General features: G+C 36.7%; 1 annotated feature.

The window, feature by feature from the left end:
• Positions 632-1,148: an enhancer, noted in NCBI's record as "H3K27ac-H3K4me1 hESC enhancer chrX:33561932-33562448 (GRCh37/hg19 assembly coordinates)". NCBI's record gives its function as "activates a minimal SCP1, AML or CMV promoter by ChIP-STARR-seq in primed H9 embryonic stem cells {active_cell/tissue: H9 hESC(primed)}" and the evidence as "EXISTENCE:reporter gene assay evidence [ECO:0000049][PMID:30033119]".

A 22,827-nucleotide genomic window follows, 5' to 3' on the forward strand; every position in this document is an offset into this window, starting at 1 on the left:
CTGAACATAGGGAGCTGCCTGGAGATCATGCGAAGGCATTGCTCTACACAGGGAGCTCATGCTAAGTCCTACACATACCCACGGGACGCAAGCAGGTACAACATAGTGCCATTTTGAGAGCCTAGCTCCCATCAGGTGGCATCTTGTCCTGTGGTCTAAAAGCCCCTTCATCGCCACATCTCTGAAGCCGCCTTGATATCCCTGCCCACAACTACTGCTACTGCTGGCTATTCCCACTGGAACTGAAGTGTGAGCCTGTGGCAGTGTCCCGGACATGCCCAGCAGTGGAGCTGCCACACATTTGCATATTCCCAGAGTGTAGACTCCCCAGGCTTACAACTGCTGCTGTTACTGGCTGCTCCATCTGGCAGTGATCCCACTGCCCCTAGCAGCAGGGTTTACAGTAATTTACACACGCCCTAAGGAGAGACTCTCCTGTCCACAGGCATGCCCCAATGCTAATTGTTGCTGCCAGTGAGTGCTGAAACACACCTCACTGGCAGTAAACCCACCACCCTCACAAGCATCAAGGCTGCCAAACATTTGCACATGCCCTGAAGACAGGCTACTTTGCCTGCAGCCACAGCCATCACCAGACGTGGCCACTGGGTGCTGAAGCAGAAGCCACTGGAAGTGACCCCACCAACTTCAGCAGCAGGGTCACTGCACATTTGCATGTACTCTAAGGACAGGATCCCCACCCACAGCCACTGCCACTATTGGCTGTTGCTTCCAGGTAACCCAAGCGTAAGCCACTGGCAGCAACCTTGTCAACCTCAGCAGTAGAGCTCACATGCATTTACATGTGCTTTGAGGACAGGCTCCCCTGCACACAGCTGTCACTGGTGCTGAACTGTGCACTGCCCAGTTGCCTGGCTATGGCTGCTGCCACTGACAGCACCGTGCTCTTTCCGGGAACAGGGCCATAATGTACTTCTGCATGCTTGAGGAGAGGTTCCTCTGACCACCACCACTCCTGCCATTTCCACCTGAGCACTCCACAGGGGTCCTGAGGACAACCATATTTCTGTCCACGATGGCCAGTGGCCAGATGTACCATCAGGGAGCCTAAAGACAGAGTTGCCCAATTTGACCCCACCCTTCCCAGTGGCAGATTACATTATCTGGGCTGGGATTGCCCAACTTTGTCCATCACAGTTAGTACCTGAGCACCTTGCCCAGGGGCCTGGAGATGAGCCCACTAAGCCTGCTATTACAAGCACATCTGGCACCTATCTGCATGTGCCACCAGTGGGTCAAGGGACTAACCAGCATAGCTTGATGCAGCCACTACTAACACCAGTATGGATCCCCTGAGAGCCAGAGGGTTAGTCCATCATTTCTATTGCCATTGTACCTATCATACCCACTGCCCATGGACCGAAGGACCTACCCAGCCTACCACTGCCACTGCTGACACCCAAGCAAACTGCCTGCAGGCCGAAGAATCAGGCTGCCTGAACCTGCTAATACCAGGGCTAGCATATCCCAAACAAGAGCCCAAGGACAGGCGCGCTCGGCCTGCTGCTGCCACCAATGGAGCCTGAGAACTGGCACACCTGGTGTCTCGATTCCAGGTGAAACTTCACCACAGCCTCTTTTTAAAACCACGCACAAAGCCACTGAGAAAATCACAGAAACCATTGAGGCCATTCACAGCTAAATAAATTATATGGGAACTACACTAGTGCACACACAGAGAGTCAAAGCTAAAGTGCCCTAACCAATCAATACCATAGGTATATCTTTTGTAAGATGTCTTCCCCTAACAGCAAATTCAAAAAATTGGAAGAAGCAACTGTTATACCAGATGTGCAGATATCAATGTAACATAAAAAGGAAGGAAATATGCAACACCAAATAAATACGATAATTCTCCAGCAACAGAGTCCAATAAGAAAGGTACGAAATGCCTAGAAAATCATTCAAAATAATGATATTAAGGAAGCTCAATGAGATGCAAGGGAACACAGATAAACAATAAAAAGAAATTTTAAAAAATTACTAATGAGATAGATATCATAAAAACAGAGCCAAACAAAAATCCTGGAATTGAAAAATTAATTGAATAAAAATTATACATATATATATATGTTTAAGAGCTTCAGCAACAGACTACATGAAGCAGAAGAAAGAATTTTAGAATTTCAATGTAGGTCTTTGGAAATAATGTAGAAAAAATTAAAAAATATAATTAAAAAATGAACAAAGCCTACATGACATATGGGATACCATAATTTTCAAATTTTTACTGTCCCAGAAGGCAAAGATAATGACAAAGGGATAAAAAACCTATTTAACAAAACAATCATTGAAAACTTCCAACATTTAGCATGAGATGTAGATACACAGATACAAGAATCTCAGAGATCCCCATATAATACAATGCAAAAAGGACTTCAACACTACACATTATAGTCAAATTGTCACAAGTCAAAGTCAAAGAGAATTCCAAAAACAGCAAGGGAAAAGTATCTAGTCACTTATAAAGGAACACTCAGACTAACAGAAAATTTCTCAGCAGAGATCTTATAGGTCAGGAGAGAATGAGATAAACAACAACAACAACAAAGAAAACTATGAGTTCTAATAAACAAATTCAGTAAAGTTGCAGGATACAAAAACAACATTCAAAAATCAGTGCATTCCTATATTTAAAAAACGAATGAACTAAAGAAGACATCCAGAAGGCAATCACAACTACAAGAGCTACAAAGAATACCTAAGAATAAAATTAATGAAGGAAATGAAAGGCCTCCTAAAAAAGTAAAAAACCTACAAATCGCTAATGAATGAAATTGAAGAGAACACAAACAAATGGAAAGATATCCCATGCTCATGAATAAGATGAATTAGTGTCATTAAAATGACCATAATGCAGAAAGAAATCTACAGATTTAGTGCAATCTCTAGCAAAATACCGATGTCACTTTTCTAAAAAACAGAAAACAATCCTAAAATTTGTCTGGAAGAAAAAAGAGGCTGCATAGCCAAAGCAATCCTGAGCCAAAAGAACAAAGCTAGAGGTATCAAACTACCTATGTCCAAATATATTACAAGGCTCTAGTAATTAAACAGCATATTATTACTTTTTTATTTGAATTCCTTTTATTTTTAAACTTATAAGTTCAGGGGTACATGTGCAGGTTTGTCACATAGGTAAATGTGTGTCATGGGTGTTTGTTGTACATTATTTCATTATCCAGTTATTAAGCTTAGTACCCATTAGTTATTTTTCCTGATCCTCTCCCACCTTCCACCATCCACCCTTTGATAGGCTTCAGTGTGTGTTGTTCCCCTCTATGTTTCCATGTTTTCTCATCATTTAGCTACCATTTATAAGTGAAAACATGCAGTACTTGGTTTTCTCTTCCTGCATTAGTTTGCTAAGGATAATGGCATACAGCTCCATTCATGTCCCTGCAAAGAACATGATCTTGTTCTTTGTATGGCTGCATAGTCTTCTATGGTGTATATATATGCACCACATTCTCTTCATCCAGTCTATCACTGATGGGCATTTAGGTTGACCCCATGTCTGCTATTGCGAATAGTGCTGCAATAAACATACCTGTGCATGTGTCTTTATGATAAAACATTTTATATTCCTTTGGGCATATACCCAGCAATGGGAAGGCTGGGTTAAATAGTATTTCTGTCTTTAGGACTTTTAGGAATCATCACACAGCCTTCTGCAATGGATGAACTAATTTACACTCCCATCAACAGTGTATAAGCATTCCTTTTTCTCCACAACCTCACCAGCATATATTATTTATTGGCTTTTTAATGATAGCCATTCTGAGTGGTGTGAAATAGTATCTCATTGTGGTTTTGATTTGCATGTATCTAATAATCAGTAATGTTGAGTTTTTTTTATGTTTGTTGGCTGCATGTAAGCCTTCTTTTGAGAAGTGTCTATTCATGTCATTTGACCATTTTTAATGGGGTTTTTTTTTCTTGTAAATTTAAGTTCCTTGTAGATGCTAAATATTAGACCTTTGTCAGTTGAATAGATTGCAAAAATTTTCTCCCATTCCGTAGGTTGTCTGTATACCCTGTTGATAGTTTATTTTGCTGTGCAGAAGCTCTTTAACTAGATTCCACTTGTCAATTTTTTCTTTTGTTGCAATTGCTTTTGTTATCTTCATCATGAAATGTTTGCTCATGCATATGTCCTGAATGGTATTGCTGAGGTTGTCTTCCAGGATTTTTTATAGTTTCAGGTTTTACTTTTAAATCTTTAATCTATCTTGAGTTAGTTTTTGAATATAGTGTAAGGAAGGAGTCCAGTTTCAATCTTCTGCTTATGGCTACCCAGTTATCCCAGTACCATTTATGGCATAGGGAATCCTTTCCCCATGGTTTGTTTTTGCCAGGTTTGTCAAAGATCAGATAGTTGCAGGTGTATGGTCTTATTTCTATGTTCTGTATTCTGATCCATTGGTCTAAGTATCTGTTGTTGTACCAGTACTATGTTGTTTTGGTTACTTTAGTCCTGTATTATAGTTTAATGTTGAGTAGCGTGATGCCTCCAGCTTCGTTCTTTTTGCATAGGATTGCCTTGGCTATTCGACTTCTTTTTTGGTTCTATATTATATTTAAAAATTTTTTTCTAGTTCTGTGAAGAATGTCAATGAGAGTTTAATGGGAATAGCATTGAATCTATATATTACTTTGGCCATTATTGTCATTTTAACAATATTGATTCTTCCTATTTATAAGCATGGAATGTTTTTCCATTTGTGTCATCTCTGATTTCTTGGAGGAGTGTTTTCTAGTTCTCCTTGTAGAGATCTTTCACCTCCCTAGTTAACTGTATTCCTAAATATTTTCTTCTTTTTGTGGTGATTGTGAATAGGAAGAGTTGGTTTGTGATTTCGGTCTCGGCTTAACTGCCGTTGGTGTATAGGAATGCTAGAAAATTTTGTACACTGATTCGGTATCCTGAGACTTTGCTGAAGTTGCTTCTTCACTTAAGCAGCTTTGGGGCTGAGACTATGGAGTTTTCTAGATATAGAATAATGTCATCTGCCAACAGAGATAGTTTGAATTCCTCTCTTCTAATTTGAATTCCCTTTACTTCTTCCTCTTGCCCTATTGTCCTGGGTATAACTTCCAAAACTATGTTGAATAGGAGTGGTGAGAGGGGGCATCCTTATCTTGTGCCGATTTTCAAGGGGAATGCTTCCACTTTTTCCCATTCAGTATGTTTGCTGTGGGTTTGTCATGTATGTCTCTTATAATTTTGAGGAATATTCCTTCAATATCTAGTATATTGAGAGTTTTTGACACGAATGGGTATTGAATTTTATCAAAAGCCTTTTCTGGATTTATTGAGATAATCATATGGTTCTTGTCTTCAGTTCTGTTTATGCGATGAATCATATTTGTTGATTTGCATATTTGGAACCAACCTTGCATCCCGGGGATGAAGCCTACTTGATCATGGTAGATAAGCTTTTTGATTTGCTGCCGGATTCACTTTGCCAGTATTTTGTCAAGGATTTTTGCGTCAATGTTCATCAAGAACATTGGCCTGGCACTTTCTTTTCTTGCTGTATTTCTGCCAGGATTTGGTATCAGAATAATGCTGTCCTCATAAAATTAGTTAGGGAGGAGTCCCTCCTCCTCAATTTTTTTTTTACGTAGTTTTAGTAGGAATGGCACCACATCTTTGTACATCTGGTAGGTTGAGCTGTGAATCCATCTGGTCTTGGGCTTTTTTTGGTTGGTAGGCTATTTATTACTTCTTCGATTTCAGAACTCGTTTCTTCCTGGTTAAGTCTTGGGAGGATGTATGTGTTCAGGAATTTATCCATTTCTTCTAGATTTTCTAGTTTATGTGCATAGAAGTGTTCATGATATTTTCTGATGGTTGTTTGTATTTCTGTGGGGTCATTGGTAAAGTCTCCCCTGTTGTTTCTGATTGTGTTTATTTGAATCTACCCTCTTTTCATCTTTATTAGTCTATCTAATGGTCTATTTTATTGTTTTTTCAAAAACACAGCTCCTGGATTCATTGATATTTTGAATTTTTTTGTGTCTCAATTCCTTCATTTTGGCTCTGATTTGATTATTTGTTTTCTTCTGCTAGCTTTGAGATTTGTTTGCTCTTGGTTCTCTAGGCTTTTTTAGTTGTGATGTTAGGTTGCTAACTTGAGATTTTTCTAACTTTTTGATGTGGGTATTCAGTGCTATACATTCCCCTCTTAACACTGCCTTAGCTATGCCCCAGAGCTTCTGGTGCATTGTATCATTGTTCTCATTAGTTTCAAAGAACTTCTTGATTTCTGCCTTAATTTCATTATTTACCCAAAAGTCACTCAGGAACGGGTTATTCAATCTTCATGTAATTGTATGGTTTTGAGTGAATTTCTTAGTCTTGAGTTCGAGTTTGATTGCACTGTGGTCTGACAGACTGTTATTATTTCATTTCTTTCACATTTGCTGAAGAGTGTTTTACTTCCAATTAGGTGATTGATTTTAGAGTAAGTGCCATGTGGGGATGAGAATAATGTATATTCTGTTGTTTTGGGGTGAAGAGTTCTGTGGATATCTATCAGGTCTATTTGATCCAGTGTGGAGCTCAGGTCCTGAATATCTTTGTTATTTTTCTGTCTTGATGATCTTTCTAATATTGTCAGTGGGGTGTTAAAATTTCCCACTATTATTGTGTTTGAATCTAAGTCTCTTTGAAAGTCTCTAATAACTTGCTTTATGAATCTGAATACACCTGTGTTTGGTGGATATATATTTAAGATAGTTAGCTCTTCTTGTTGAAATGAAGCCTTTACCATTACATAATGCCCTTCTGTGTCTTTTTTGATCTTTGTTGTTTTAAAATCTGTTTTGTCAGAAACTAGGATTGCAACCTCCACCTTTTTTTCTGGTTTCTATTTGCTTGGTAGATTTTCCTCCATCCCTTTATTTTGAGCCTATGTGTGTCACTGCTTGTGAGAAGGGTCTCTTGAAGACAGCATACCAATTGGTCTTTTTTTTTTTCCAGCTTGCCACTTTGTGTTTTTAAATTAGGACATTCAACTTATTTACAGTTAAGGGTCAGCATTAATATGTGTGGATTTGATCCTGTGACTATGACATTAGTTGTTTATTTTGCAGACTTGTTTCTGTGGTTGCTTTATATTTCCACTGGTTTCTGTACTTCATTGTGTTTTTGTAGTGATTGGTAAAGGTATTTTCTTTCCATATTTAGCACTTCCTTCAGGAGCTCCTTTAAGGCAGGTCTGGTGGTAACGAATTTCCTTACAATTTGCTTTACTAAAAAAAAATCTTATTTTTCTTTCACTTATGAAGCTCAGTTTGGCCAGATATGAAATTCTGGGTTGGAATTTCTTTACTTGCAGAATGTTGGATATTGGCCTCTGATCTCTTCTGGCTTGTAGGGTTTCAGCTGAGAGGTTCGCTGTTAGTCTGATGGGCTTCCCTTAGTAGGTGACTTGGCCTTTCTCTCTAGCTGCCCTTAACATTTTTCCTTTCATTTTTAACTTTGGAGAATCTGACGATTTTGTGTCTTGAGGATGATCTCCTCATATCTTACTGGGGTTTTCTGCATTTCCTATATTTGAATGTTGGCCTTTCTAGCTAGGTTTGGGAAGTTCTCACGAATGATATCCTGAAATATGTTTTTTTTTTCAAAATTGGTTTCATGCTCCCCATTTTTTCAGGTACACCAATCAGTCATAGATTCGGTCTTTTTACATATTCCTGTATTTCCTGTATGCTCTGTTCATTCTTCATTCTTTTTTAAAATTCTTCTCTGCATGTCTTACTTCAGAAAGACAGTCTTCATGCTGTCAGGTTATTTCCTCTGCTTGGTCTATTCTGCTATAAATACTTGTGATTGCATTAGAAAATTCTTCTAATGTGTTTTTTAGCTCTATCAGGTTGGTTACATTTTTCTCTCTACTGGCTAGTTTGCCTGTCATCTGCAGTGTCTTATGATTTTTAACTTCCTTGCACTGGGTTACAACATGCTTTTTCTTAGATCATTGAAATTCATTTTTATCCATATTCTGAATTCTCCTGCTGTCATTTCATCCATCTCAGCCTCAGCCCAGTTTGAAACCCTTGCTGGAGAGGTGATGCAGTCATTTGGAGGAAAGTGGGTGCTCTGGCTTTTTGAGTTTTCAGCGTTCTTACAATGATTCTTGCTCATCTTTGTGGGCTTATCTACCTTCAATATTTGAGGTTGCTGGCCTTTGGCTGGGTGTTTTTTCTTTAAAGAGTCTGGTCACTTCTTAGGGCTGCTGTGGTTTGGTGGGGATCAACTACAACCCTAGTCACCTTGGATTTTCCTGTAACTGGAGGTATCCCCAGTGAAGACTGTGAAACAACAAAGATGACAGCTTTCCCCTTCCTCTGGGAGCTCCATCTCAGGGAGTTATAGACCTGCTGCTGGGCTGGATGCACCTATAGGACGTGGCTGGAGACCCTGGTTGGGAGGTCTCATCAAGTCTGGAGAAACAGGATCGGGGGCCCGCTTAAAGAAGCAGTCTGGCCATGCTTAGCTGTCTTGTGCTGGGGTACCACTTCCATCCCCAGTTGGCTTGGGCTGTCCAAAGCCTGGAGACTGAAATAGCTAAGTCTTCCCAAAAATAAAGATGGTGGCCTCCCCCTCCTCCCGGGAACTCCATCCCAGGGAGAATTCAAATCTCTGTGGGCCAGAGAACACTGGTGGGTGTGGCTAGAGTTCCTGATTGGGAGATCCCACCCAGTGAGGAGGAATGGATCAGGGACTCACTTAAAGTAGCAGTCTGGCCATGTTTTGCCAGAGAAGCTCTGCTGTGCTAAGGGATTTCTTCCATTCCCAGTTGGTTTGGACTCTTCAAAGCCTGTAGGCTGGGATTGCTGAGTTGTCCAAAGAGCAAATATGGTGACCTGCCCCTCTCTCCAGGAACTCTGTCTCAGGTAGGCAAAACACTGTTGCCAGTGGCTGGCTGGATTTTCAAGCCATTGGGTCTTAACCTGTGAGGAACCATGGGAGTGCGGCCCACAGACCAAGACTGCTCAGCCTCTTTCGTAGGGGTATATACAGAGTTGTAACTCTCGCTTTGCCAGAGTTGCAGTTGCTTTTGCTGGGAAGCCCTGAGGAGGAGTATGTAATGCTCTTGGTTCTCTGTGTATGCCTTGTGGTTGCTTTGTGGAGACTCCAAGTAGCTGTGTGTGTCAGACTGAAGGCACTGGTGGAGTGGATTCATGAGGGGATCTCTTGACCTGAGGGTTGCAAAGATCCATGAGGGAAGCATTGTTGATCAGGGTCGCACATTCACTCACTGCTTCCCTGTGCACAGGGCATTCCATTGGCTCTGTGTTGCTCCTGGGTGGGCTATCACTATGCCTTGCTTTTCTCCATTTTCCATGGGTCAAGATGTTTCCTTGATTAGTCCCAATGTGTGTACTTAGATGTTTTAGTTGAGGGTGCTCTGTTTACTTGTCCCTTTAGTTCCTCTCTGTGAGACTCACACACTGTAGCTACTTCTTGTCAGCCATCTTGGCCATGCTCCCCCAGCATATTATTGATACAAAAACAGATGCGTGGACTAATGGCATAAAATAGTGACCCCATAAATCACATATTTGCAGTCAAAGGATTTTTGACAGAGGCACCAAGAACATACACTGGGGACAGGATACCCTCTTCAAGAAATGTTGCTGAAAAAAAATATCCATATGCATAAGATTGAAACTGGACCCATATCTCCACCATAAACAAAAATCAACTCAAGACTTCAACGTAAGACCCAAAACTCTAAAATGACTAGAAGAAAACTTAAGGGAAACACTTCAGGACATGGCTCTAGGCAAAGACATTATAGCTAAAACCTCAAAAGCACAGGTAACAAAACCAAAAATAAGAAAAATGAGACTATACTAAACCAAAATGATTCCGCACACCAAAGAAGACAGTCAACACAATAAAGGGACAAACTGTTAAATGCAAGAAAATATTTTCAGAATATTTACTCAATAAGAGACTATTATCTCAAATGCACGAGGAAATAAAAAAACTCAACAGTAAAATAAAAACAAATAATTCCACTAAAATGGGCAAAGACACTTATCAAAGGAAGTCATTCAAATGCAAAACAGGTACATGAAAAAATGTTCACCATCGCTAATCATCAGGAAAGTGCAAATCAAAACCATAACGAGATACCACCTTACCCCAGTTAGAATGGCTATTACTGAAAAGAAAAAATAACAGATGCTACCTAGAATGTGGAGAAAAGGGAACCCTTATACACTGTTGGTGGGAATATAGATTAGTACATCCACTATGGGAAACAGTATGAAGAGTTCTCAAAAAACTAAAAATATAACTACCACTTTATCGAGGAATCCCACTGAGTATTTATGCAGAGTAAAATAAATCAGTATATCAAAGAGATAACCTGCACACCTATGTGTGTTGCAGCACTGTTCACAATAGCAAAGATCTGGAATCAACTTCAGTGTCCATCAACAGATGAATGGTCAAATAAAACGTGGCATATATAGACAATGGAAAGCTATTCAACAATAAAAATCAATGACATCAGGTTATTTGTAGCAACATAAATGAAACTGGAGGTCCTTATATTAAGTGAAATAAGTCAGGCACAGAAATACAAATACCACCTGTTTTCACTCATATGTGGGAGTTTTAAAAGTCGATCTCATGGCAGTATAGAGCTGAAGGATAGATACAAGAAGAGGGGAAATGTGTGTAGGTGAAGGGAAGATAAAGAGAGGGTGATCAGTAGGTATATAGATTAGAAGAAATAAGTTCTAATATTCAGTATCAGAGGAAGATGACTATAGTTAAGAACAACGTACCGTATACTTCAAAATAGCTAAAAGAGAGGACTTCAAATATCCCCGACACATAGAAATGATAAATAATACTTGCTTGAGATGATGGACACTCTAAATACCAAGGTGAACATTACACATTCTATGCATGTAATAAAACATCACATCTCCCTCATAAATATGTACAAATATTACATATCGATAAACTATAAATATTAAGGCAGTAAATGTGAAGTACAGTATTGTAAATGTCTATTTCCATATTTAGCAATGGAAATCACAAGGAACTGATATAATTTAAAGAGGAACCTTTGTTATTAAATGGTAAAGTATGCCTCTCTGACCTGATATAGGTGTGACTAGATAATACAAATTGTTCTATGTAATTTACACACGATTTTAAAAATTATAAAGTAGAAATACTGATGCCAAAGTCTTTGTGAAATGTGTTAAAGTAAAATAGTCAGTGGTATATTTAGCTACTGACCTCTATTCTCTCCTAGTTATTATGGCAAGATGATGAAATCACAAATGCAAGACAGACGTTTGTCCACCCAGGTTAGTGTCCTGGATAAAAGAGAAAACACGCCTTTGTTTTATGCCCAGTAGTACACGTGGCAATACTGAGACATATTTTAACAAAATAAAATAGTAAAATATATGCTCTAGAGCAAACTTTTGCTATAAGAATACATGAGATTTACCCAAATTCCTAATTCAGTTTTGACATGGATATTTTAAAAAGTCATTTAGCTTCAAAATGCGTATTAAGTCTACCCAAATTATGAAATTCCTACACATCCTGTATCTAAGAGCACTAATTCTGTTTTTTTCACTCTAAATAAGCTATATCTAAAGAAGATATAAGCATTCAACTTATGTATACATCACCAAATTCCCCTGAATGACACCCTCAGGAAAACAAAACAACCCAGGGAAACTATTAACTAAATGCATGTATGGAAGTATACATAAACATACACGTACATATCTATATGTGTACACATCATATATATATATATATATATATATATATATACACATATGTAGATATCTTCTCACAAAAAACACATGTTAACTTAGTCTCTTATCCATTTTATGAAGTGGCTTCCTTCGGCAATGTCAAATGTGATTATATTTTACGTCATGTTAACATTGGATAGTAAATTGAGTGCAATGGCTTTCAGAGCGCAGGTTGTAAAACAGCTGTCAAATATCAACCAGAATCACATTTGAATTTACAACCTAGAACTGAAAGGTCCTTTCAACCTTTTGCACCGAATATGGAAAGAAAAAGATTTAGAATACATTTTGACTTTTGAGAGTTGATACATTTAATAAAGGCTTGTTAAAACAAAATAGCTGTGAATGAATAACATATTGCAAGCCATGACTAAAGGAACATTTGTGAAGAGTCCATTTATGCACTATGCCATTTATCACTACAAACTATGAATATCCTGGAGGTAAAATTTTCCAAAAAGTACAGTGTTTTATAAAAAAGAGTATTGTTTATTTAAAAACTGTAATTTGTAAACACAGTCATGTAATTATTCCTGGCTAAAGTATTTTATTTTAGTTGTAAGGAAATTACTATGTTTACTTTAAAAGGCTTAAAAAATACTAGCTAGTGGCACAGTCTTAAAATCATAATATTTAAATGTAAAAATATTATAAAGCAACATGCAAAATATATTATTTAAAATATATATCTAAAGAGAATATACAATATATAGAAGAAAACATTAAAACATCAATAGACTTTCCATATGGAGGTGAAATTAGATGGTAATCTTTATTTTATTTACCATGCTTATATGCATTTCCCAAATTTTCTACAGCAAGTTGCTATTACTTTGGTAACAAAAAAGTAAAATATCCATATATCTGTGAAATTATATTTTCTCTCTCTGACCATGTAAACCTATATGGATCTCTCTAGTTGGTAATAAAGCCACGAAAATTATTATGGAAAAGGAGAGAACAATCAAAATTAGATGTGTTTTCCATTTTGTGTCTTATCTATGGTATAGGCTATCTTATTGCCTCTGCATTCTGAAAAAAAAAAAATAGAAAAAAGAATGAGAGGTTAAAATAACAAACCTATTTTTCCTTCTTTCCAGAACTGATTTCTAATAGTGTCTTTTTCTATATCCACCTTAATTCTTCCCCTTCAAAATAATAGACAGTTTTCCCACCTTTGGATTTCTTACTGGTAAATTGTTGTCTTCACTCAGGCCAGCAAGTGAGCTTTCTCACACTTCAAGAGAAAGCAAAAGCAACATATATAAAGCAAAAGAAAAAGTAGAAATACTGCAGAAAGGCCTTTTTTAATGTGCGAACTGGAAGGCTGAGTTTTAGCAGTTTTCTAAAACTGGCCCTAGCATTCACCATTGAATTGTGGAAAGATTGCAGCAAAGCTCTATGTCCAATTGAATCAAATCATCCAGAGCAGCTCTGTCCAATAGAACTTGCTGTGATGATAAAGATGTTCCACAGCTTCTCTGTCCAATAAGGTTGTCTATTAGACAATTGTGGCTAATGATTAAAATGTGACTAGCATTGCTGAAGAACTGAATTTTAATTTTATATGATTTTAATTAGTTTAAACATAAATTGCTACATGTGACTAGCATATCCAAAGTATTCAACTTAACACATAATACCCTTGATCCTAAAAAATGAAGTTGTAGGGTAAAAAAGAGTAAATAAAATGTCAGGGTGAATTTTAATAGCTTTATTAAGATATAATTTGTGCATCATAAAATCAATTTATTTAAAATGCATAATTCAACAGTTTTTTAGTGTATTACAGAGTTGTCAAGCATTACAAATATCTAATTTTAGTTTCATCACCCTAAAAAACTCTATATATTAATATTCATGCCCCACAGCCCCCGCCAATTCCAGCACTAGGTAACAACTAATGTACTTTCGATCGATATACCTTTGCCTATACTGGACATTTCATATGATATCGTAGAACGCGTGGTCTTTTGTGACTCCTTTCACTTAGAAGAATGCTTTCATAATTGATCTATGTTCCAGTATGTACCAGCACTTCATTATTTTATTGCCAAATAATATGCCATTGCATGAATGTAGCACATTTAGCCAATCTATTTGTCAGCAGATGGATAAGGTGGTTCTTTTCCACACCAACTGATATGAACAATGTTTCCGTGAAGATTACTGCAAATGTTTTGTGTGAATATGTTTTCATTTCTCTTGCATATATACTTGTGAGTGAAATTTCTGGATAATGCTCTTAACTCAGTGTTTAACATTTGAGGGACCACCAAACTATTTTTCAAAGCAACTGCACTATTTTATATTAGCATCTGTAATGTATAAGGGTACATATTTTTCCACATTCTCCCCAACAGTTGTTTTTGTCTGCCTTTTATTAGAGCTATCCTAGTGAGAGTATGAAGTGGTATTTCACTGAGGTTTTGGTTTGCAATTTTTTTTTATTACAAATGATGTTGGGCATCTTTTCATGTACTTATTGAAGCAGTTTATTTTGGAGAAATTCCTTTTAAAATCCATGACTCCTTTTTAATTAGGTGGTTTTTCTTTTTATTATTGACTCATGAGTTATTTATATATTAAGAATAGATAATATATAAATAACATATATCCCCTTATCAGATAATATATATCCCCTTATCAGATACATATTTTGCAAATATTTTTCTCATTTTGTGGGTAGTCTTTCACTTTCCTGATTTCCTATTTGCAGTAGAAAAGTTTTAAATTCTAATGAAGTCCAATTTATTTATTTATTTTTTTGTCACTCAGACTTTTCTTATTGTATATAAGGAAACTTTGCCTAACTAAAGTCACATAAACTTAGTTTTGTGTTTCACTCTATGTGTTGAAGTTTAACTCTTACATTTAGATCTATTATTTATTTGAAGTTTTGCATACAGAGTGAGGTAGAAATCTAATTTTATTCCTTTTCATGTGGATTGTCAGTTTTTTCAGCACCGTTTGTTGAAAAGGTTATTTTCCCCATTGTCTTGGAACATTTGTTGAAAATCAACTTAACATAAATGTAAAGGTTTATTTCTAGACTATAAATTCTACTCCATCATTTATACGACTATCCTTCTGCCACTACCACACTCTGTGATTACTTTTTTTTTTTATTTGAGACAGAGTATCGCTCTGTCGCCAGGCTGGAGTGCAGTGGCACGATGTCAGCTCACTGCAACTTCCACCTCCCAAGTTCAACCGATTCTCCTGCCTCAGCCTCCCAAGTAGCTGGGACTACAGGCTTGCGCCACCACGCCCAGCTCATTTTTGTATTTTTAGTAGAGATGGGGTTTCACCATGTTGGCCAAGCTGGTCTTAAACTCCTGACCTCATGATCCGCCCACCTCGGCCTCCCAAAGTGCTGGGATTACAGGCGTGAGCCACCATGCCCGGCGATTACTGTAACTTCCTAGTAAGTTTTAAATCCAGGAACTGTGAGGCCTCCAACTATATTCTTCCCTTTCAAGATTGTTTTGGCTATTCTTGGCACTTTGTACCTCCATATGAGTTTCAGGATCAGTTTGTTAATTTCTCCAAAAAAAAAAAAGTCAACTGGGGTTATGGTACAGAATACATCAAATCTATAGATTAACACGTGGAGTGTTGACATGTTAACATCTTTTAATATGTGAATTTCTATTTATTTCAATCTTTTAAATTTAATTATTAACCTGAAAATGAAACTAAGAAATCCATTTGCAATAGCACCAACAATAAAAATACTCAGGGGTAGATTTAACAAATTCACTGCAAGGCTTATATCCTTAAAATGGCAAACCATTGCTGAGTGAAATTTAAAATATCTATATGGGTTATGTCTGTTTTGTTTCTCTGTCCCTTCTTCACTGTTTCTTTTTGATAAATGAATATTTTCTATTATAACATTTTAATTCAAGACTTTTAACTGTATACGTTGTTTCTTACTGACTATTCTATAGCTTGAAATATGCATGTTAATCCCTAAATATAATTAAAACTATGTTCACATAATTCCAGTGAGATATAGAAACTTTACCTTCATATAGCTCTATTTTCTACCCCCTATATTGTGATATTGTTATACATATTACATCAGAACATGTAACAAACCTGACAAACTTATTGTTATAATTGCTACCTTATATAACCTATGTCTGTTAAAGATGCTGACACAACAATGCACAGTACGTATATATTTTTAGAGTTTACTATATTAATATTCTTATTTACCATTTCTGGATATCTTCCTTTTTCATTTTTTTCCTCTGTTGGCTCAAGTATCCATCAGTTAGCATTTCTCTACTTCAACAATTTTTTTTTCTCACCTACCTCTTTTGTACTTTCAGTGCCACATATATTATATTTCAATTAATGTATGTCAAAACCTAATAATACACATAAAGATACAAAGATATGTCATGTTATGCATTTGCTTTTCAGTAAGTTAAAAGAAGTAGGCATATGCATCCATAGTATCTTTTATATTTACTTATATAGTTATACTCTTTTTTTGTGTGGATTCAAATTACTGTCTGATGTCACTTGTCTTTATTCTAAAGAAACTGCTTTAGTATTTCTTGTAAGGCATGTCTGATAACAATAAATTCTCTGTTTTGTTTACTTGCTATTTAGCCTTCATTTTACATTTATTTACACTTTACTTTTGAAAGTTAGTTTTGCTGGATATATAATTCTATTTTGTTCTGTTTTATAATTTCAAATTTTATTTTAAATTCAGGAGGTAAACATATAGGTTTGTTACATAGATATACTTTGTGATGCTAAGGTTTGGGGTACAGATCTCAGGTAGTGAGCATAGTACCCAGTAGTTTTTCAGACATTATTTCCCTCCTTCCCTCCTCTCTCTAGCAGTTCACAGTGTCTATTGTTTCCATCTTTATGGCCACATGTACTCAAAGTTTAGCTCCCATGTATAAGTGAGAACATGTGGCATTTGGTTCTCTGTTCCTGAGTTAATTCATCTACAATTATGGCTTCCAGCTGCATCCATGTTGCCGCAAAGGACATAATCTCATTCTTTTTCATGGCTGCATAGTATCCCATGGTATATATGTACCACATTTTTTTCCTGTGAAAGCAACCATGTAATAGTTTATTTAGTATTAGACATTAATTGGTATCTTTGAAAAAAATATTTTGATTTACATTTTCTTCTACTTTTATTTCAATTTCTGGGGGTACATGTGCAGATTACTTACCTGGATAACTTGAGTGTCACCGAGACTGGGTGTATAAATAATCCTGTCACTCATATAGTGAGCATAGTGCCTGATAGGTAGCCTTCCAAACCATGCTCCCTACCCCCAGTCTCCCCACTTCAAGCAGTCTCCAGTGTCTATTGTTCCCAACTTTGTATCCAAGTGTATTCAGTATTTAGCTCCCAATTCTAAGTGAGAACATGTAGCGCTTGGTTTTCTGTTCCTGTATTAGTTTGCTTAGGATAATAACCTTCAGCTGCATCTATGTTGCTGCAAAGGACATGATTCTAACGGTTGTGTAGTATTCCATGGAGTATATGTCCCACAGTTTTTTGTTTTTTTGTTGTTGTTGTTGCTGTTTTTTGACGGAGTCTCACTCTGTCACCCAGGCTGGAGTGCAGTGGCACGATCTCAGCTCACTGCAACCTTCGTCTCCCAGGTTCAAGCGGTTCTTCTGCCTTATCCTCCTGAGTAGCTGGGACTACAGGTGTGTGCCACCACGCCCAGCTAATTTTTTTTTTTTTTTTTGTAGTTTTAGTAGAGGCGGGTTTCACCATATTGGCCAGGCTGTTCTCGAACTCCTGACCTCATGATCCGCCTGCCTCAGCCTCCCAAAGTGCTGGGATTATAGGCGTGAGCCACCGTGCCTGGCTGTCCCACAGTTTTTTTAAACCAGTCCACCATTGATGGGAATCTTGGTTGATTCCAGGTCCTTGCTATTGTGAATAGGGCTGTGATAAGCATGCAAGGGCATGTGTCTTTTTGGGAGAATTTATATTCCTTTAGATATATACCCAGTGGTGGGATTGCTGAGTTGAATGGTAGCTATGTTTTAAGTTTTTTCAGAGACCTTCATACTGCTTTCCACAGTGGCTGAACTAATTTCCATCCCCACCAGAAGTGCATCAGCATTTCCTTTTTTTCTGCAACCTCACCTTCATCTGTTGTTTTTTGACCTTTTAATGACAGTCATTCTGACTGGTGTGAGATGGTATGTCATTGTGGTTTTGATTTTCAGTTCTCTAATGATTAGTGATGGTGAGCATTTTTTCATGTGTTTGTTGCCTGCACATACGTCTTCGTTTGAGAAGTGTCTGTTCATGTACTTTGCCTATTCTTAACGGGGTTGTTTTTTCTTTGTTGAATTGTTTAACTTACTTATAGATACCAGATATTAGATCTTTGCTGGATATGTAGTTTGTGAATATTTTCTCCCATTCTGTAGGTTATCTTTCACTCTGCTGATAATTTCTTTTGCTGTGGCAAAGTTCTTTAGTTTAATTAGGTTCTACTTGTCCATTTTTGTTTTAGTTGCAATTGCTTTTGGGGACTTAGTCATAAATTATTTTTGAAGGTTAATGTGTACCACATTTTTAAAAAAAATCTAATGCACCATTGATAGCCTTCTAGGTTGATTCCATGTCTTTGTTATCGTGAATAGTGCTGCAGTGAACATACGAGTTCATGTGTCTTTTTGGGAGAATGATTCATTTTCCTTTGAGTATCTCACTATATTCTAGACTCAATTGTTACTAATGAGAAGCCAGTTAATGTTTTGGCTGTAAGCTTGTACCTGATGTGCACTTTTGTTTTGCTACTTTCAAAATTTTCAAGATTCTGACTATTATGTGGCCAGGTGCTAAAGTCCTTTGGTTTACTATACCTGGAGTTTATGGATCTTCTTAGATGTTTGGAATAATGTTTTTAATCAGCTGTGGGAAGTTTAAACCAGTATCTTCGAATATTTTTATTTTTGTGTTTTCATTCATTTTTATTTATGATTGACACATAATAATTGTACATATTTGCAAGGTATAATGTGATTTTTTGACACATGTATATATTTTGTAAGATCAATTCAAGGTAATTACAGTATCAATCACCTTAAAAGGTATCATTTCTTTGTGATGAGAACATTTAAAACCCATCTACTAGCCATTTTGAAATATGTAATACATTGTTGTTAACTCCAGTCATCTTACTATGCGGAGAACATTAGAATTTATTTCTTCTTTCCAACTGTGCCTTTGTACCTGCTGACCAATCTCATGCCCTCCCCCTCCTGCTCCTCTTCCCAGCCTCTGGTCTCCACTATTCTCCTCTTTACTTATATGAGAACATTTTTTATATTCCACATATAAGTGAGACCATGCAGTACTTGTTTTCTGTGCCTGGCTTTTTTTCACTTACCATGATGTCCTCTAGGTTTATCCATGCTGCTGCAAATAACAGGATCTCATGCTATTTTATGGCTTAATAGTATTCCGTGATACATATATACCACATTTTCTTATTCATTTATCTGTTGACAATAAGGTTGATTCTATCTCTTGGCTATTGTGAACAGTGACGCAGTAAACATAGGTGTGCATATATCTCTTTGCCATGCTGATTTCATTTCTATTGGGTATATATGCTGTAGTGGGATTTCTGGGTCATATGGTAGTTCTACTTATAATGTTTTGAAAATCCTTCATACTGTTTTCCATAATGCCTGTACTAAATTACATTCCCACCAGCAGTGTGTAAGTGTTTCCTTTTCTCCACATCCCCAACACTTGTTGTACTTTGATTTTGTGATAGTAGCCATTCTACCTTCACTGACATAATACCTCATTGCAGTTTTTGGTTACATTTTTCTATCAAAATACTGATGACATTCTGCACAGAAACAGACAAAAAAAGTATGTAACCACAAACTACCTTGAATAGCCAAAACAATCTTGAATAAACACCAAAGCTGGAGGTATCAAACAGCCTGAATTCAAAACATGCTACAAAGCCATAGTAACTAAAACAGCATGGCAGTGACATAAAAACAGACGCATAGACCAAAGGAACAGAATAGAGAATAGAGAAATCTACACATGTACAACCAACTGATTTTTGACAAAGTGCTAAGTACACAGAATGGAGAAAGGAATGTGTTCTCAATAAATGGTGCTGAGAAAAATAGATATTCACATAGAGAAGAATGAAATTATACCCATATCTCTCACCATATAGAGAAAAATAACTCAAAATGGATTAAAGACTTAAACAGAAGACTCAAACTATGGAACTACTAGAATAAAACACAGGGTAAAACTCTATGACATTAGACTAGGCAAAGATTTTTTTTTCGATAAAACTAAACAAGCACAGGCAACAAAAGCAAATACAGACAAATGGAATTACAGCAAACTACAAAGTTTCTGCACAGCAAAGGAAACAATGAACAGAGCAAAGAGACAACCTACAGAATGGGAGAATATATTTGCAAACTATATATCTGATAAGGGGTTAATATCCAAAATATGTAAATAATTCAAATGACTCAACAACAACAGCCTGTTATTTGCAACAACATGGACTGTACTGGAGACCATTAAGTGAAATAAGCCAGGCACAGAAAGACAAACATCCTATGTTGTCACTTATTTGTGGGATCTAAAAATCAAAATAATTAAACTCATGGACACAGAGAGTAGAAGGATGGTTACCAGAGGCTGGGAAAGGTAGTGGGGGGTTTGGAGGGAAGTGAGGATGGTTAATGGATCCAAAAATACAGTTATAAAGAATGAATAAGACATACTATTTGATTGTACAACAGGGTGACTATGGTCAATAATAACTTAATTGTACATTTTAACATAACTAAAGGAGTGTGATTGGATTGTTTGTAACACAAAGGATAAATGCTTGGGGGCATCGATACCCCATTCTGCATGATGTGATTATTTCACATTGCAGGCCTGTTTCAAAACATCTCATGTGCCCCATAAATATGTATACCTACTATGTACCAACAAAAATTTTAAAAAAATTTAAAGTGAGCAAATGTGACCCTATTTTGCTATCAAATAGTAGGTCTTCGTTGTACATTTAAAAATAACTAAAGGGGTATAGTTGGATTGTTTTTTAACACAGAAGATAAATGCTTCAGGGGATGGATACCCTACTCTCCATGATGTCAATATTATGCATTGCATGCCTGTGTCAAAATCTCTCATGTACCCCAGAAATGTATATATCTGCTGTGTACCCACAAAATGTACAAATTACAAATAAATTGAGCAAAAGACCCGAATTGACATTTCTCAAAAGAAGACACATAAATGGGCAACAGGTATATGAAAAAATATTCAACATTTTTGAATATCATTTTGTTCCTTTTTCTCTACCCTCTTTCTGGTTTTCCCATGAGAGTCATCTATATTAAACAGGTTAAAATAATCAAAAGCAATTGGCTCACAATAAATAGAGATGAGACCCGAGTGTGATAACAAGAGAGGAAACTAGTCAGATGCTTAATAGGAAGATCACGAAAAGAGAAAGTACAAGAAAACCCAGCTGAAAGCACCATCATCACTGGTGGTCAGGAAGACTGTATATAAACCCAAGGCTGCCACGTCTTTGGATTTAAAACATCCCAAGGTGAATATTGCAGAAAAAATAAACTTCACTGAATCAATCTAGCCGAATCACCAAACAAATGAACAAGTAAACAAACACAATGCACTCCAAAAGAGGGATAGATCAGCATGAAGAGTTGCTATATTATCTAAAATCTCCAGTTTTCAACAAGGATTTTTATTATTTTTTTATTATACTTTAAGTTTTAGGGTACATGTGCACAACGTGCAGGTTTGTTACATATGTATACATGTGCCATGTTGGTGTGCTGCACCCATTAACTCGTCATTTACATTAGGTATTTTTAAATCCTCAAATTCAGAATGAAATAAATTGACCTAGGTCACAGATCTAGTGGGTAACAGAGCTATAATCTAACATACTGGAAAGCAAGCCTCTTAAATATTAAGTTCCCATTTATTGTGGGTTTCTATGTGTGAGACACTGTGCTAAATACTTTATATGCATTATATTACTTCATCTTGCTCTCAACAATCCTCTGTGATGAAAATTATTACACTCAACTTTCAGATAAAAAAATGAGATCTGGAAAAATTTACAACCAGCCCAAGTAAATGTTGGACTAAGGATTTGATAAGATAAATAGCAAAACATTCCCTGCTTATAGGCTGAGGCCTCAGAATGACAGTTTTATATACATAGTCTGTTTTGCTACAATGGATGTTTTAACAATGCCGATTAGCTTATCCACATTAGGTAAACAAAGGAATGATAGTAGTTTAATGTTAAAGCCATTTTGAATCACTAGCCTTATTTCCTAGTAGGTTAATATTTTGATGTGACTGGAGCAAAATAACTTTCACAAGGCTTTCATAATTAATGGGAAAACTTTAGGCATATGTGAAGACCTTAAGAAAAACACACTTGAAAATCCCGGAAAAATGTCCTCCAGATTAAAAAGTGGTTGATTTAGTGACTTCAAGAATCACTACACTTTCAGCAATGTTAAACTATTTGAAGAAGGACCGACAAAGAGATTTCTCCAGTGTCTTTTTTTTTTCTTTTGTAAAGTGATGTAGACTACTAAACCCAGAGCATAGTGTTAATTTCGATACAACTGGTTACGAGTAGAAACAAATATACTCAAGGACCTATATCTTGAAGAAAGAAGAGTGAGCCTGAGAGTGTAAGGTTGAAAAAGATGAAGGGCCTGTGACACTAGGTATAAAATACAGTGGAGATGCAACTTCATTAATGGTTTACTAAGATGTATTTTAGAAATGTTTTTAAATTCTAAATTTCTGACACAGGGTTAGCATTGTTTTTCTTAGAGTTTGGGTTACAGTGTTCCTGAGGTTTTGAGTGGCTTCCCTCTTACTCTATTTTCCCAGTAAACCCCTATGCTTAGTGTGTACTTTTG

Source organism: Homo sapiens, chromosome X (genome assembly GCF_000001405.40).
Source record: "Homo sapiens chromosome X, GRCh38.p14 Primary Assembly".
Lineage (NCBI taxonomy): Eukaryota > Metazoa > Chordata > Mammalia > Primates > Hominidae > Homo > Homo sapiens.